Source organism: Homo sapiens, chromosome 3 (genome assembly GCF_000001405.40).
Source record: "Homo sapiens chromosome 3, GRCh38.p14 Primary Assembly".
Classification (NCBI taxonomy): domain Eukaryota; kingdom Metazoa; phylum Chordata; class Mammalia; order Primates; family Hominidae; genus Homo; species Homo sapiens.
This window is the reverse complement of record NC_000003.12, coordinates 148,880,343-148,898,400: the sequence shown is the minus strand read 5'-3', so window position 1 is coordinate 148,898,400 and position 18,058 is coordinate 148,880,343. Positions and strand designations below refer to the sequence as shown.

The window sequence follows — 18,058 nt, the reverse complement described above, 5'->3', positions numbered from 1 at the left end:
GCTAATTTTTTTTCTGATTGAGAAAAAATATTAAGCTGCATAATAATTCAAATAGTGTGTTCAACTTTTGTGTCTTTATAAACTGAATAATGGATGGACATGGGATAATATTCTGCAATTGGGATTATCTCTTTTATCTCCTCCATCTAAAGGCTCAATGGAATTAGAGGTATTTATATGAATTTTAGGGTTAGAATATATTTCAGTCCTTTCTCATTTGAGTAAGTAAGTGTGAATGAGTATATAATTCCAATATGGCATGTATAATGAAACAAATTTACATTCCCACGTTCTGAAGCTAGTTTGGAATGCTAAATATTTAGACATAGATACCATATTTTTAATCAGACAATATAATCTCATAGCCACATTTTTCTCTTTTAGTTTCTTGACTCTGTCACCTTCCCCTTCTCCCCTTGTAAAGCAATTTTGTTAGTTTACATTTGCTTTTCCTGGACAATTTTGCATGGGAAACTTTTATCTACCTCATGACTATCAGAACACACCATCATCTTGTAGCTTTGATGCCATCCTTTCTTTTATGTGTCCCTAAAGGATTCATGAGGCATGTCCCAGATTGTTTATTGACTTGACTTCTCAGGACCTTTCCCAGTCGTTGAAAACTGTCTGGGGTGTTCTGAGAAGTAAGTTTACTGGAAGTCAAGGAACTCTCTACTTGTCCCTCAAATTATAGTCAGTCCTGTGGTGGGCATCTGTGTCTGGATTCTGGGAATGTAGACACTGCCACTGTTGCCACTTGATCACACATTGAGGTATTGGTGTTGGGGAGAAGCTATCCAATAATACTATCTTAAATAATAGGAGTATAAATGGTACAAATGCAGCAAGTTACCCTGATTGCCTTTGGTCAACATGACTTTCCGTCCTCAACTTACAGTATGTTTCCAGGTTTCCTTTCTATCCATTAGGAGGGCAGGGGTCACAGCTGACCAGACTGTCTTGTCTGTGTCTGTACCGGCAAACAGATGTTTTAGCAGGTGGTTTCTTCTGATTATGGCAGGTTAAATTAAACTATTTTGAATTTAATGTACATTATGCTGATGAGAACTGGATCGGTTATTTAAAGGACTGAGATTCATCTCTATATGAACCACTTTATTTCCTGCTAGGACATCCTTTTGCTTTTTTGAAGATATAAACAATGTCTACTTCTATCAGAAAAAGATAGACAAATTATGTTTTTGAAAATTGAAGATATTATTTCTTATTAACAGACTGAATGAATGGCATTAATATTGATTATTAATGCTATAGAGAAATACAGAGAATATAGTTTATCATAAAAAGATGAATTTTAAAGCATTAAGTGCATTTTATTTTATTGTATTAGCACATAAATTGATGAAGCCACATGGTGAAAATCTGTGAGAAACTGAAGGTTTTCATTTGTTTTCTGTGCCCCACTGTATATCACCTTTCAAAATAATGCTTTCTGCTGGGTCCAAACTTCACTTGGAGCAAAGAAAGGTAGTTAAAAGGTTTCACTTAAAGCTACTTCGTTATGGTGCTACTGAAAGTAAGTAAAAGCAAACAGCAGTAACATGGGACTTAAATGAGCAAGAGAAGGATTCAGGTGAAATAGAAGCTGCATTTGGGGATAACTGAAGATTGACTTTCTGATGAAAGGCACAAAAAAGGATTAATTGGCTTATTCCAAACAGAGGGCAGTTCTTTAGGAAGTATGCTTGAGGATATACTTGGCAATAAATTTGACAGCTAGCATGGTCTCTCTGCACGTTGGCTTTATCCGGGATTCTGGAAGGAGAAAACCAAATTTGCCTTTATCTCGGAGCTCAAAGGCAAATGTGTGTTTGATGCCCAGGTCATAAGCCCAGTCTAAAGAAGAACCTGATATCGGGTCTGTAAAACACAAGCAGTAAATATTTAATTAGAGACAAATGCTAATGTTTTTTTAAAGTGGAAATCAGTGGTGTATAATTAGCAATAAAAAATAGTTATGTGTGCAGTTAATTGCAGTAATGAATGAGAGTAGTGGTCTGAATAGTACAGAGTGCATAGTAAAGCATAATCATGACTTTGGAATCCACCCAGTGTGTGCTGCGTTTAAAAAATTACATTTTGGTTGGGTGAGTAGTAAGTTGAGTTTATTTCCTAGGCACACATTGTTGCAGATGGACGTGTTGAGGACAAGTACCCAGAGCAAGTGCTAGCAGCTGAGGAAACCAGCTAAGGAGTCACTGGTCGTTGAAAACCACCAGGGAAAAACTATACACACAAGATACATAGAATTGCATTTCTTCTAATAGCTTAGGTCTCTTGTTTTTCATGTTGCTAGGGTAAACTATTTCATAGTCAAAAGACCAAGAAAATGTAATTTAGTTATTTTAAAGACATATTTAATCTCCTAATTCAAAATTTCCATGTCAACTTTTATGAAATTTAACTCAAGGTTCTATTTTTTGGTAAAAACATTGGAAATATAAACACACATCTAAAGGTTATATACATATAACTCACATCTAGAGGCTATATACATATACAAGTGCATATACATATCATAATTGCATTTATGTGCTCACATTTTGCTTTATGTGATATAAAAGGTTTTTTTTGTATGTGAAGGCATTTATGTTCTAGGACAAGTAATGAGTTTAACTAATAATAACAGTTTGAAAGATCTGAAAAATTTGAAAGATAAGAATTCAAAGCTGCGATGAAAGAGAGAAGGGATATTTTGATGAAGAGATAGTGTTGGCTCTTAAATTGGTCACCAAATATTTATTAAACCTTTAATATTTACAAGACACATTTCTTGGCACTGGGGAGAGTAATTGTTGCAGGGTACAAAAATGCAGAAGATGCCACTGGTGTCTTCAGTAACTTACAATTTAGGAGGCAGAAGTCAAGGTATAAGTCAATAGAGGCAGAGCAGAATATGCTAAGTACCATAGAAAAGGTACAATATTTTACCAAGATTTAAAAGAAAAAAGAGATTATTCTTGATGAGGAGTATGGCCTTTCATGCCCAGTGCCAGCTCAAATACTGCCTTCATGATGGAGGAGATGGTATTGGAGGAGAGCCTTGAAGAAAGGCTAGTGTGTTTTCAGCTGGAGATGGAAGAAAGGAATTCTAGCCAGTGAACTACAAGGATAGAAAAGCATGGAGGCATTGTTAGAAACCAACGAGATCCAGCTGGACCAGAGCAAAGGGAGCAGTGAGAGTTTGTGAGTAAAGCTTGGAAAACCTTGTGAATCGGGACTAGGTGTTTAGATTTTCTTTTGGAGGCCTTCTAGTACTTTAGGTTTGTTAATCTGGATTGAAAAGAATAGAAACCAGTTATGAAGTAGTGTGAAATGAAAGCCTGACTAGGGTAGAGTCACCACATTAGAAACAACTGAGGGATTCTACATAAGAAACATTGGGATTTCATAAAAATGATTGATGTTTCAATCTGGGTAGCTGGAAAAAACATACTGTTAAATGGGAACTCAGAGAGCATTGGGATGGGAAAAAGAAAAGGCAAAGGAAGACAAAGTGATACGTTTAACATCAATCAGACATTCAAGAAAGAGCTTGGAAAAATGAATGTTTAAATTATTGGCATAGACATCATAGGTGAAATTGGTGTGCACACATTTAGGATCATTATTTTCTTGGTGGGATGGATCCTTTTATCATTGTTAATGTCTCTGTCACTAGCAAATTTCTTTGCTCTGAAATTCACTTTATCTGATACTTAATGTAGCTATTCTTCCTATGGCATAGTATATCTTTTCCATCATTCTCATTTCAACTTATCTGTGTTGTTATATTGGAAATGAGTTTCTTATAAACAGCATATTGTTGAATTATAATTTAAAAAATTCATTCTGCCCATGTGTCTTTAATTAGTGCGTGTAGGTAAATTATTGATATGACTTAAACATGCCATTATTTCTTTTTTTTTTTTTGTTCTTTCTGTTTTTATCCCTTTATCTTTTTTTTCTTGCTTTACACCTTCCTCTTGGTTACATGACATTTTTAGGATTCCATTTGATTGATTTATAGTCTCACTTGCTTAGTTTTCTTAATGGTTGCTCCAGGTACTATAATACACATACATAACTTACCACAGTCTAATGGTATTGACATTTTACTATGTCAAGTGAGGTGTAGAAACTTTACTTCCTTTCAGATCCTTTTTCCCTTCCCACTTTTAAAGTACAATTGTCTTGAGTACTTCTCTACATACATTGAACATCACATCAAACAGACTTACAATTTTTGATTCAATCATCATGTGGAGAAAGATAGTCTATTATTTAATTTATTTATTTATACTGAATCCATTTTTCTTCCTTCCTCTCTGCAGTTCCAAGCCTTTTGCTGTGATTATTTCCTTCTTGTTCAGAGGGTTCTTTTAGCCATTAAGAGTAGGTGTGCGGGGCACACATCTGCTGATTTCCCTTTGTATGAGAATGTCTTATTCCCTCCTTCATTTCTGAATATTTTTGCAATACATTGAATTTATTGAATTTAGGGTTGATAGGTGTTTTCATTCAGCACTTGAGAAAATGTCACTTCCTTTTGACTTCCATGGTTTCACATGAAAAATCTGCTGTCACTGGAACTGTTTTTAACTCTAGATCATTTCTGTCTGATTCCTTTTACGACTTGTTTCTTTGTCTAGTTTTCAGAAGTTTAATTATGATGTACTTTGATGTGAGTTTCTCTGGGTTATTCCTGTTTGGGTTTCACTCAGCTACTTGACTATGTTAGTTTATGTCTTTGTCAAATGTAGGATATTTCAGCTTTTATTTCTTCAAACATTTTTTTTCCAGCTCCTGTTCCCTTTATTTATCTTTTCCTTGGACCGATGACATGAATGTTGGATATTTTATTATGCCATTTGTTCCTGAGGCTTTGTTTAGTTATTTATTTTTGTTTATTTTCTGTCTTCAGAGCGAGTGAATTATATTGCTCTGTCTTTAAGTTCACTGATTCTTCCCTCTGTCATATTTATTCTGCTATTAAGCCCTTCCAGTTTTTTTGTTGTTCAAGTTATTACATTTTCTAGTTCTATGGTTTCCATTTGGTTCCTTTTTGTATCTTATATTTATTTCTTTGATGATAGTTTCCATTTCTTCATTTGTTTCAAGGCCATCTGTAATTGTTTGTTGAGGCATTTTTTTTTTAATGATGGCAACTTTGAAATTCTTTTCCAATGTTTGAAACTGCAATCATCTCAGTGTTGGCATCTGTGGATTATCTTTTTGTATTCAAGCTGTAATTTTTCTTGTTTTTAGTATTACAAGCGATTTTTGATTATATTCTGGACATTTTAGCTATTACATTAAATAATAAATTGTAACTTAAATCTTCAATTTAGCAGGTAATCACCCTGTTCAGGTTTAGTAAACAGGCCCTGGCCTACTTTTGTGTCTTGTGATACTGATGACAATATAGTATTTTTTTTTTTCTTTTGAGATGGAGTCTCACTCTGTCACCCAGGCGAGAATGCAATGACACAATCTTGGCTCACTGCAACCTCTGCCTCCCAGGTCCAAGTGCTTCTCCTCTCTACAGGCGCCTGCCACCACACCTGGCTAACTTTTGTATTTTTAGTAGAGACAGGGTTTCACCATATTGGTCAGGCTGGTCTTGAACTCCTGACCTCAGGCAATCTGCCTACCTCGGCCTCCCAAAGTGCTGGGATTACAGGCATGTGCCACCACACCCAGACAGTTTTGCTTTGGTTTTTTGTTGTTGTTGTTGTTGTTGTTTTTGAGATAGAGTCTCACTTTGTTGCCCAGACTGAAGTGGAGTGGTACGATTTCAGCTCACTGCAACCTCTGCCTTCCAGGTTCAAGCAATTCTCCTGCCTCGGCCTCTTGAGTAGCTGGGACTACAGGTGCGTACCACCACACCTAGCTAATTTTTGTATTTTTAGTAGAGACCGGGTTTCACCATGTTGGCCAGGCTGGTCTCGGACTCCTGTTCTCAGGTGATCCTCCCACCTTGGCCTCCCAAAGTGCTAAGATTACAGGCATGAGCCACCGTGCTCAGCTGACAATATAGTTTTCAAAGCCTTTGCATTGCTATTTTGGTCTGGTTGGTTCACTTAGTGGGTAAAAGGTGATTGCCTGGTGCCCTAGGTAACAAATGAGGGATTCCAGCCTGTGGGGATAGAGGTTATTTCTTGATGAGGAGAGTCAGAAGTAAGAGGAGGGACCTGAGGAGAGAACCTGAGGAAGTATCCATATATTGTACCCTATTTTTTGGAAAATGTCTACTTTTAGAAGCAGTCAGTGGGAGAGTAGAAAAAAAGGAGGAGGAGGAAGAAGAGAACCAGTAGAGTTCAAAGTCAAGGAAGCCAAAGGAATGGCAAGAAGTTATTAACAGGGTCAAATATTGCATGTAATTTATGGAGCACGTGAGCTGAAATATAGAGACTGGCTTCAGTGATCAAACAGATTGCCACTTTTAGCTAGTTGGATTTAAGTTCATGAGAAAGAAATCACACTAAGATGCAAGCTTGGTAGCAAAGGAGGTAAAGTAAATAGGAATTATGTCTTGTAATTTAGGATATGTTAGACATTTTAATAAACTTGGCCAGTTCCTAGTTGCAGTAGCTCTCTATTTGCAGTCGAGTAAACTGCTGTGATTTCCAAGGGTTAAAGGGCATGGCTATTCTATTTTGAGAGATTTACTTTATGTGGAGTTTGTCATTAAGATTAATAGTGGTGATTGAGAATATATGGAATTTGATTTTTCATAATTATGTGATGCTATGAAGTAGAATACATTTCATATCTTCTAGATCTTAAATTTGCAAACAAAACTATATCAAGTCATAAAGTAAATACAACATTGCAAGTTTTTACTTTGAGAAAAAAATATAGAATTTGTGTGTGTGTGTGTGTGTATGTGTGTGTGTGTGTGTGTGTGTGTGTGTGTATGTGACAGGGTCTTGCTCTGTTACCTTGGCTGGAGTGCGGTGGCATGATCATGGCTCACTGTATCCTCGACGTCCCAGGCTGAAGTGATACTTCCACCTCAGCCTCCTGAGTAGCTGGGACTACAGGTGTGCATCACTGTGCCTGGCCAGAACTTAATTTGTTTAACATGATACTTAGCCTTTTCTTTATCTCCATGTGTACCTACTAAAACATGTGTATGCATTTATAAAATACAGTAATAATCACTTGCTAAATACCAAGTACCCTTCTATGTGCTTTATGCATGTTAACTCATTTAATTAATTCCTATCCCAAATGTAAGTAACAATTACCATTTTACCGAAGAAGAAACCTAGGCTCAGAGAGATTAAGCAACTTGCTGAAAAACACATAGCTAGTAGATGGTCGAATCAGGATTCAAGCCCAGGTGGTGTCTTCAGAGTTCATGTTGTTAATCATTGTACTGTGCTACCTATGTGCCACTCTATATACTAGCCAATACCAAGTCTTTACTCAGTTCTATAAGATAATTTTGTTTTTGTTGACAGCATATTCTGAGTATGTTCAACATTAAGAAAATATTTCCTACTTATTTCAAGGCACAATATTGGTTGCAACAAATTCAATGAGAACAAATCAAAATGAAACCGTACCAAACTAGAAATCTGATTTCAGCCCAAAGGGATCCATATAAAGTGACGTTGGTGACTTAATGTGTGCTGCATTTATTGCTTACTTGATACAGTGTTTTCTGAAAAATTGTATCGTTTTAAAAAATATTATTTAAATGTATTCAATATAATAACCTGTACTTTTATATTAATACTAAGTGAAAATTATATTAGAAGCAAGAGCTGAAGCCAGAGATACATGGGCATACACTGAAATATTTTCTCTGTAATATCAGTTTGAATGTCTCTTAGTAAGTAGAGATCTGGTGTTATGAACTACAAGTCTTAACTTTTCTTTTTCAGAATGTAAATTTTGAAAAAGTAGAATATGTAGAATATGGAAAAAGAGCACTGGGTTGAGAATCAGTGGTAGATCTAGCAATTTTGGTACACAAAGGAAGCTACAAGAAATGTACTTTGAAATTAACTTTTTAATTCATGATGTGACTCACAGATGAATTTTATTACTAATGCAATCTTGGTTCTTATCAACTCAAATAACTATTCTTGCTCACTAGGTACTATGTTTAGTTATTTCTAAGATGATGAAGGATTGGATATGCTGTTTATATGCAAATATAATCATTTCACATTAAACATTACTATTTACTTTTTTGTGCCATCTCAATATTGCTGCTTTGGGGCAAAGTGGTAGGTATACCATTTTAACTCTGGTGTTGAATGCTGATTTTTGTTTTTCTTCTGCCCTAAAGTGATGAAATATTTCTGTATCTGAATTTCAGTCTATAAATGAGAAGTTTTGCTTAGATCAGCGATTCTCAACCCTAGTTTCATCTTAGAATCACTTAAGGTACTTAAAAAAAAATTGAGTGCCGAGCTCCTCCTCAGACTGATGAAATCAGAATCTCTGGGGGCTGGGGGTATAATCATTCATGTATTTTAAAAGCTTCCTGATGATTCTTTTTTTTTTTTTTTTTTGAGATGGAGTTTTGCTCTTTCACCCAGGCTGAAGTGCAGTGGCGTGATCTTGGCTCACTGCAACCTCCGCCTTCTGGTTTCAAGTGATTCTCCTGCCTCAGCCTTCTGAGTAGCTGGGATTACAGGTGCCCACCATTACGCCCAGCTAATTTTTGTATTTTTAGTAGAGATGGGGTTTCACCATGTTGGCCAGACTGGTCTCAAACTCCTCACCTTGTGATCCGCCCTCCTCAGCCTCCCAAAGTGCTAGGATTACAAAAGTGAGCCACCAGGCCTGGCCAGCTTCCTGATGATTCTAATGGGAAGTCAGGCTTGAGAACCATGGAATAGATCATTGCCTATGTTTCTCCCTGGTTTCAAAATTTATGATTTTAACTTATCTGATATGTTTGCCTCTCATGTTCAAAGAGCAAACATATATATATTTTTTTCTAAAGGCCAGAGATCCTCCATAAGTTGAGTTTAAAAAATGCTCCCCCAGTCCTTTTTTTTCTGTCTTCATCAAGTCGAAGACAGGAAATCACTGACAAATGCTAGATGCTGTTCCTAAATCTGGGGACATGTTAAGTGACAATCAGGTTATTGGAATGACTAAACTTTAATCACATTTTTATTTTTTATTCTTACCAAGTCAACTGCTTTGCTACCCTGTTTCTCATGCATGTTTGATTAACATTCTATCAGATGCTTTATTAAAGCAGTCTGTTCTAGAAATCTTGATCGTTTATCAAGCTGCTGCAGCACTGCGTGACAAAGGCAATTCTTTCTAAATCTCAATGCCTTTAAAATGTTGTAGTATAATGTAATAAAAATTTTAAATAATGCTGCACAGTTAAACAGAATAGTAATCCCTCTTGACTGTATCTTTCCATTTTGAAAGTGACACATGATGGCATGGAGCTATGGTAGTTTTGGCTCTCCGCTCCTTCCACTTAGAATGTGACTTCCTTAAGAGTAGTTTATTGTGTCCTAAGTCCTCTCATTTATCTCTGAAAGCTCCAAAGTGCTAGCCTGCTAGCTAGGTACACCATATATTTTTGTTCATTAAGAGGTCTTAATGCAATGCTATGCACAGCTCTGTATTCTCATACTTTTGTGGATACACACACACGGATAATTATTTGATGCTTTAATTGCCTTTTGCAAAGTTTGTTCCTGTTTGGAATGCTTTGTTCTTTGCCTCTAAGACTATCTGTGGGTTTTTCTTGCTTAGAGGAATTGCTCTCATGTGGTGTCTGGGTGGCCAATCTGGCCCTGCTATTTATTAGTATCTACTAAGTGGGCTGCCATTTTAAACTGATCTTCTAGTCTGTCTTCTTGTTCTTTACTTTGCTTACTTTTTGTCCACTCACATAGCTGGGTACATAACATGTATTTTGAAATCTTGTGGTCATCCACCTGTATGTGTAATGAGTCCCCAGCATGGCTAGGTTGTAGCAAGATCTATGTGGATGCTGGGGATCATCTGTATCACTACACTTTTTCTTCAGCACCTTAACAGTGACTGGTTGATAGGTGATTGTTAATGAATGTGCTCGAGGAAAGGGACTTGTCCATTTTTTAGTCATTTTCCAGTTCTGCCAAAGAAGCATCTAATAAGTAAGTCCTAGAAACTGTATATGTTGATTCCGGCATTTTCAAATTCCATCGCAATTGCTGAGGATGTAGACTTTCAGTTCAAAGTTTATACTTTCAGCTTGGAATACGAAAGTGACTTAAAAACTGTGGTCAGGTAAAATTGTTGCAAGGAATCCTGAATTCATATGCACATATGTATTTTTTAATGCACAGATTCTAAAAGTGTAATAAAAATATGAGTGTATCTTTGGTGGTGGAAGGGTTGTTCATGAAATTTTTAAAAGTTAAATGGTAGTCTTAATGCTAAACACTGTTGGATATTTGGTCTAGAGAGTGATGCAGGCTTAATCAAGTCCAGTACTGTTGTGGTTTCAACTCACATTCACTTCTTTTGAATAAGCCAGGACACCATTATCATTGAGCAAGTTTATGGGAACTAATTCTGCTGTTGTTCCATGCCGTGCACTGTACTATATGTTACAGGGTCTAAGAGGAAATCTGAAGCATAATTCTTGCTTTTGAGAAGTTTCATGGGGAATTTTGTATAAATTTTGAGACTAAGAACTGAAGCTTGAACTTGGTTTGGAGAAAAGGTAGTTTTTACTAAATAATTCCCAAACTAAGCTTAGTGGGAGTTGCTGTAAGAGCAGAAAGTGGTCTCACTTCCCAGGATCTGAGTTAATTGTCTTCGGTGATACTCAAATGGATTTTTTGGCTGTTCATTGCAAATAGAAAATCCTGGATATTTCAGCTACAAAATCCAAATGCACAAACAGTATGTGCAGTGGTCAGGATCAGGGCTTTTGTTTGTTAAAATCTGAGATTGAGTTCCAGCTTCGCCGGTTACTAATAACTGGGAAATACTACTCCCCACCTCATAGGGTTGTTGTGAAGCTTGAGATTGTGAAAATCAAGGGGTAAGCACAGTGCCTAACTTGTAAAGACTCCATAAAAATTTGCAGATATTATTTAGTATAAAGTATGGGAGTTGGCAAATCCTGGTCAGCCTCCTGTTTCTGTGAATGAGGTTTTATTGGCACATAGTCACCCATTTGCTGACTTATTGTCTATGGCCGTTTTTGAGCTATGATTCTCCGGTTGAGTACCTGCAACAGAAACTGTACCTCCACAAAGCCAAAGCTATTTACTATCTGGCCCTTTACAGAAAAAAAAATTACTGATTTCTTTTATATAGAATAAGAGACAAGAAAATCAAGGCCAAGAAATCCAAGTCAATAACTTAAAAACACACAAAGACAACATAAATTTAAAAATAGGGAAGAGTAAGAAATGGTGCTGAGAGTATGAAACAAAAGTGACAGAACTAGAGTCTTGTGATCTCCCTTCTAGTTCACCATACAGATTTCGGCTGAACATAGTGAGAAGGAGCAAGTGAGAAGGAGAGATAACTTGTTTTACACGACCAGAGGAGCTGAAACTGATTTTCTATCTGTTTTCCTATCCTAGCTGTTTTTCAGCTAGGGAAAAGACCATACTTACATGTAGACAAGGCAAGTAAGAAAGAGTCCAGTTAAAGTTAAATGGTTAAAAAAAATGTAGACTCTACTCCATCTAATTTCTTTTATGTGATTTTTTTTAGATGAGGTCTTGCTCTGTTGCCCAGGCTGGAGTGCCGTGGCACGATCACAGCTCATGGCAGTCTTGACCTCCCAGGCCCAAATGATCTTCCCACCCCAGCCTCCAGAGAAACTGGGACTACAGGCATAGGTCACCATGCCTGGCTAATTTTTTTTTTTTTCTCACTCCAGTGAATTCTCATTAGTTCCTGGAAGGATACAACATTGTTGGTGGTACAGGTGGGAAACAGGAAGGTAGATAAAGTAAACTGTAAATCTGTCTTGACTTAATAGCTTCCGTTGACCTTGTAACCCTGTAAAAGTTCAGTATAATTTGTTTCTAGAAAAATCTTATCCCAAGAAAAGGTCAGAATCTATCCCCTAGATTCACGTATAATTCAGAATATCCTGTAAAAAGTAGAATTTAAATTAGCAATTCCAGATGCTCTAACCTAAATTGCAAATTCCATAATTTTCTTTAATATTTGTAAAAAATAATTAGGGAAAAGGGCTCAGTAAATAAGAGGAATGACTTACAAATTGTTGATTCTATTGGGCCATAGATGTAGCGGGTTTCATATCGAGTTGATAGAACATCAGTGCCAATCTTTGCAACTTTGGCCTGGAGAGAAAGGAAAGTTAGAGTGAAATAATAGGATACTGTGTAAATACCAAGGAATATGTAATTATGTATGTATGCAATTTTTTAATGGAGTCTTACAGGTTAGGCACTGTGCTTATCCCTTGATCTTTAGTTTCAAGACTCATAACAACCCTATGAGATGGACAGTACTATTTCCTGGTTAGTTGCAACTGGTGAAGCCGGAATTCAGTTCCTGGTTTTAACAAAACCAAAGCCCATACATATATATATGTAAATATGTAAATTACTAGGGATGAAAAAAGTCAAATTTACCAGGTATTTGGCATTTGAAGATCAAAATAAAATAAATGGTTAAACGAGAAACTTATTTTCAGTAATATATGTGGTAAGTATAAAGACTTGGCCGGGCACGGTGGCTCACGCCTGTAATCCCAGCACTTGCGGAGGCTGAGGTGGGCAGATCATGAGGTCAGGAGATGGAGACCATCCTGGCTAGCATGGTGAAACCCCGTCTCTACTAAAAATACAAAAAATTAGCTGGGGGTGGTGCCATGTGCCTGTAGTCTCAGCTACTTGGGAGGCTGAGGCAGGAGAATCGCTTGAACCAGGGAGTCGGAGGTTGTAGTGAGCCAAGATTGCGCCACTGCACTCCAGCCTGGTGACAGAGCGAGACTCCGTCTAAAAAAAAAAAAAAAAAAAAAAAAGACTTAAATATGCAGTCGATTATATACAGTAATGCCATATCTCATTTTGTGTTTCTACTCTTCTTTCTCTCTCTCTCCTCATTCCTTTCTTCTAAAATATAAAATATACATTATTTTTCCTGTCAATTTTTTTGGCTTCAGATAATTGTCTCTTCTGACAGTTTCTCCATTTTCTTCCATGTTTTACATTCCTTGGTCCCTAACAGGCTCATATTGCTACAGGATCTTCTCTACTCATCTGACTTCAGCATACCAAGGGAAGAAGGGTGGTTGACCGCTTTTTAAAATAGTTGTTAATTAGGGTGTCTCTTTCAGAGTGGCATTTTGTCATGACCTTTTAATACACGTTAGTGTTTTGTGCTATGAGAGTGATTGTCAGAATGAATTTTAATGGAATATAGTTACTAACATATTTGCACTCACAAAGATTTTTAAAAGACTATACATATAACGTATATAACCAATAAATAATTTTTTTCTTAATCAATTTAGTTGCTATGCAAGAACTCTCATTTTACTCAAAGTGGTTTTTTTTTTTGTGGATATGTATTTTTTTTAACCCATAATATCATTTTCCTAACAGTGGATTGAAATCACAGTGCTGTACATTGGTATGCATTAATTGAACTCACGCCCTCAGATTATCACCTACATTGGATAATAAATGACTATGGGCCATATATTGCTGGTATGTCTTCTTTGTTGTATATATGGAGATGATTTTAATGACTGATTCAGGTCTCTGCTCCAATTAACATTAAATGCTGTTGTGCTAAATACAATGGACTGAGGTCAGAATGAAAATTGTAACCTCTTAAAAATTTTAAAATATTTTATGAGGCAGTATTTGGACCACAGCTATTACTGAAAGTGCTATATTTGCCAATCACCATGGGATCTGGGCCACTAAACTTTTTCTGTTTTATTTATTTTCTTCTATAGCAATTCAAAATATTTATCCCTCTATGCACCCATTCACTCTGTCACTTCCTGTGATTCATTGGAACCCATATGCAGACTTTTTTTTTAAAGCTCACATTATCAAATCAGTTTTTATAAACAAAATGGTGCTTAATGGATCATAGTTTTGGAAAGATAACATATTCTTAGTGAAGAAGCTTCACAAACATTTATAATCTTCTTTGGATTGTAAAAGAATATAATTTCCAAGTTGATCAGGATAAAAATACAATGTATCTTCTTAAATCTGATATCTGGGGGGCAGGACTAGTAAATGTCTTTGCTATTCTATTGGGCTTTTTCCGTGCATGGTTTTACCGTACAACCCATGGTAAATGTTAAACCCCACAATGAGCTGTGTTGTAATAGACTTCTATTATGCCTTTCCTAGACATTTCTTCCTGATTTTTTTTTCCTCCTGAGAATCACATTAAAGGAATTTATTATCTATATACTTTTATCAATGAAAAATCAATCTAAAGATCATGATTTTAACTTCAAGGCAAATTTCATTAGTTCTTTTCTTTGACATTAAAATGTGAAATTCTTTCAACATACCCAAGTTAATGAAGAACAGACTGAAAGTCAATGGTATTGTCGATGCATGAAGTGCAAACTTTTGTCTACGTACCAAGTCCTCATGGTTAGGTGGCAGTTTTGATGTATATCCATAGGGAAACAATAGCATCTGGGAGTAGGAATGGAAGGTGATGTAAACCTTGATTTCATTCAGGTGGCTTCTAATGAAATTAGTGACAGCTTTCGTCTCTTTCTCGGACTCTGGTGCAGAGCCCCGATAGTTATCTGCACATGGGTCATTGGTGTTAGGAATGGCTGCAGAAGACATAGGTGGATGAGACCACAGTCTGCTCCCCATCCATATAGCTCCTGCCTCTTCTAATGTATTATAGATTCACAGAATGTTTTAAATGTTTTTGCCTCTCATGTTTACAGGGCTGCTTCAATGTCTCTTGTATCATAGTCACTACAGATTAACATTGCACACACATGCCAGATTGTAACAGACTTAGCCCACTGGAATATTCTAAGCCTTGTTTACTTCCTTGTCCTTTCCCAAGGCCACAGGAGTAATAAATCAGAAGCAGCCATGACTTGGAGCCAGATACACTCCAGTTCTAATTCAACCCCAGCTCTAATGCGCTGGGGGCTGGTGTGAATTACCTTCCCTGGGCACAAGTTTCTTCAGCCTTTTTCAGCAGAAAGCTCTCAATTAGAGATAGCTGCTGCTCTTCTATGTTCATTATGGTAGAATACAGTTAAAAGCTCAGGTGATGTTTTCAACAAAATTAGGCACAGAAGAAATATATAAATTGGGGCAATGGTAATTTCTCCTTGAAAGTGTGCAGTGATGAAGTCATAGTTGTATAGCAACTAAAGCATCGTCTGATGTAGCAGGCCTCTGCTTATCATCGTATTTCTGTTAAACTTTTTCACTTTCTTTGCTCCAGATGACTCTTTTCACTAAATATCTGAAAAACTGTCTGTATGTTGCTTTTAGCCACTGACATTTCTCACATCAGGAAGCAGAGGAATCTGAGGTCTTTATTCAGATTATCTGAATTTTTATACATTTGGATTGTGCTTAATTTTTAGCAAACTAGATATAGTAAGTAAGAGATGGTTTGATAAACAGTCCCTTCCTCCTCATTTCCTTCCACACAGCAAGACATCCCTCAATGGTAGTGATGATTGTCTTTCATGTTATAGATACAAAAGTTAACACTCACTCAAAGCATAACTATTTTTACTGAACAAGTAGGTGTTTTAGTTAAGTTTGGGACCTAAATATTCCTTATAGCAATTTTCCTTGATAGCAAGTCTGCTACTCACAGTTCCATGAAGCATTAAAATTCCTGTTGAGGTCAGTGCCGATGCATTTGGAGTTTTGGTTCTTGGAACGATTTTTTCTCCACATGCGGTTCTGCCAGATTGAATGACGTAAGTGTTTACACAAGATCAGTTTGCATTTTTCAATTTGATCATTTCAAATTCTCTCTGCAGGTGTCTGCAACTTTATTTGAAATCTATCTAGTTAACTTGAGGCCCTTTATTATAAAAAGAAAAAAATATTGTTTTCTTATAATTTGTAGTATTTTCAGAATCATGGTTTTTAATATTATATCCTTAGGCTTTGATGAAATAATTCAGTTAATTTTAAACACTGTTGATTAGTTCACAGTATTAGAAGATGACTAACGGTGTTCTGAAATTAACCATAATTTAAATTATAACTTCATTAGCTTGTTCACCATATATAGATTCAGATATAATGCAGGTCAAATTTTTACTGTTGGAGCATTATTTGCAGAAAATAATTTGATGTGACAGTGTCTGCCTGAGAGTTCTTATTTAGCAAAAGCAGGATAATAAAATATACTGTAAAAAGACAAATAGGTATCTGTACCTCTCTTTTATTTTTTTTGATACAATGATTCTACCTCAAATTCTATTCAAAATTGATGAAATACAAAGGTTTTTGTTTTAAAATCAATTAATTGGCTTTATTCTTAGCTAGATATGCCATATCATATAATGCAATCATACATTTCCTCTGTAATTACTACTTTATTTCATTTTCCCACATAACTAGCTTCAGCAGCAAAAATTTTATATTATTTCAAGGATACCTATGCAACCAAGAAATCATACTTAATTTGAAACTGAGATTTTAAAAAATATACTTTTCTGAATTAGAATTAACTAGTTACCTAAACCCTAAGCTGAATGCATAACATTGTGTATTAAAGCCAGCAAATAATATCTAAATGCAAACAAGAGAGTAGAGAGCAGTACCTTTGTCCATGACCAAATATATCCATCAACATTGAACACAGGAAGAATGTAAAAATTCATTCGGTCCAAGAGTTTGGTCATAATTTTGTTTCTCCCATAAGTTTTGGTTGCCTGTCGGAGGTGAAAAAAAATTAAGCTATTGGTATGAAGTTTAGCTATTATGTGGAAAGCTGTGGTTATAATAGTAATAACTTGAGTCACTTCCCAAGGTCACATGTTTTCAAGCATATTTTCCCTAAAATGAACAAAAATAAACAATCCATATAGTTTAAAGGGGAAAAAAACCTAACTTATTTAGACTAGTGACATTAATGGAAATGAATAGTCTTTAAAGGAGCATTTAATTATCGAGACTTATAGCATTCCAAATGTAGCATGAGAGATATGTTTCATAGAAAGATTGGAAGCCAAATGGAAAATTTGTAATACAACTTATTTTTAATTGATTCTCTCACATCTTTTACATAAATATAGATAGAGTCTGTAAGCACAGGAATATGAAAATATTGGAGAGAATTTGTGAGATAGTTATAAGCAGGATTAAATAAAAAATTGTATTAATAAAATACCCAAGAATTCAGAGATTGAACAACTTTTTTTTTTCTATATCTGACTGAAATTTCTCTAATCACATGCACTTTCTGTAGCTACCTAAAATCTCTCTCACCACTCTTGGGAAGTCCTTCTAGGTACATCTGAATTGGAGACAAGATTTTTTGTAGACCTGTGATGTGCATTCCTTTATGTGTTGAGTAGGGGGAGCTCTTGGCCCTCAGTTGGGAGAGCAAAAGTAACTACAGGTCACTTCCTGGTGGATTCTTTTCTAGAAAAATATCTATGCCCAGAAAACCATTGTTACACATATTTCACCACTGTGCCATGTGCAAAAGCTGACAGAAAGAGAAAATTAAAATATGGTAGGAGTCAAAATACATTGGCAATAGAGTGAGAGGAATATTGAATATATAAACTAGATAAACCTTTTAAAAAAGTGAATTGTAGGCCCAGTGTGGTGGCTCATACCTGTTATCCCAGCACTTTGGGAGGCCGAGGGGGACAGATTACTTGGGATCAGGAGTTTGATAACAGCCTGGCCAACATGGCAAAATCCAGTCTCTACTAAAAATACAAAAATTAGCCAGGCATGGTGGCGCATGCCTGTAGTTCCAGCTACTTTGGAGACTGAGGTAGTAGAATTGCTTGAACCCAGGAGGCGGAGGTTGCAGTGAGACGAGATTGCACCACTGCATTCCAGCCTGGGTGACAGAGTGAGACTCCATCTCAAAAAAA

At 36.1% G+C, this 18,058-nt stretch overlaps 1 protein-coding gene across 1 annotated transcript in view; it reads right to left on the bottom strand.

The window, feature by feature from the left end:
* Positions 1-1,197: 1,197 nt before the first annotated feature.
* CPA3 (carboxypeptidase A3) overlaps positions 1,198-18,058 on the bottom strand; it is a 31,908-nt gene continuing 15,047 nt past the window's right edge. Inside the window, exons 7-11 of the mRNA NM_001870.4 lie at positions 16,769-16,879; positions 15,806-15,896; positions 14,586-14,788; positions 12,224-12,308; positions 1,198-1,881 (exon numbers count right to left, since the gene is read on the bottom strand). Coding sequence (NP_001861.2) covers positions 1,694-1,881; positions 12,224-12,308; positions 14,586-14,788; positions 15,806-15,896; positions 16,769-16,879 — 678 coding nt within the window. The 3' untranslated portion in view covers positions 1,198-1,693. The remainder of the gene's footprint in view (positions 1,882-12,223; positions 12,309-14,585; positions 14,789-15,805; positions 15,897-16,768; positions 16,880-18,058) is intronic.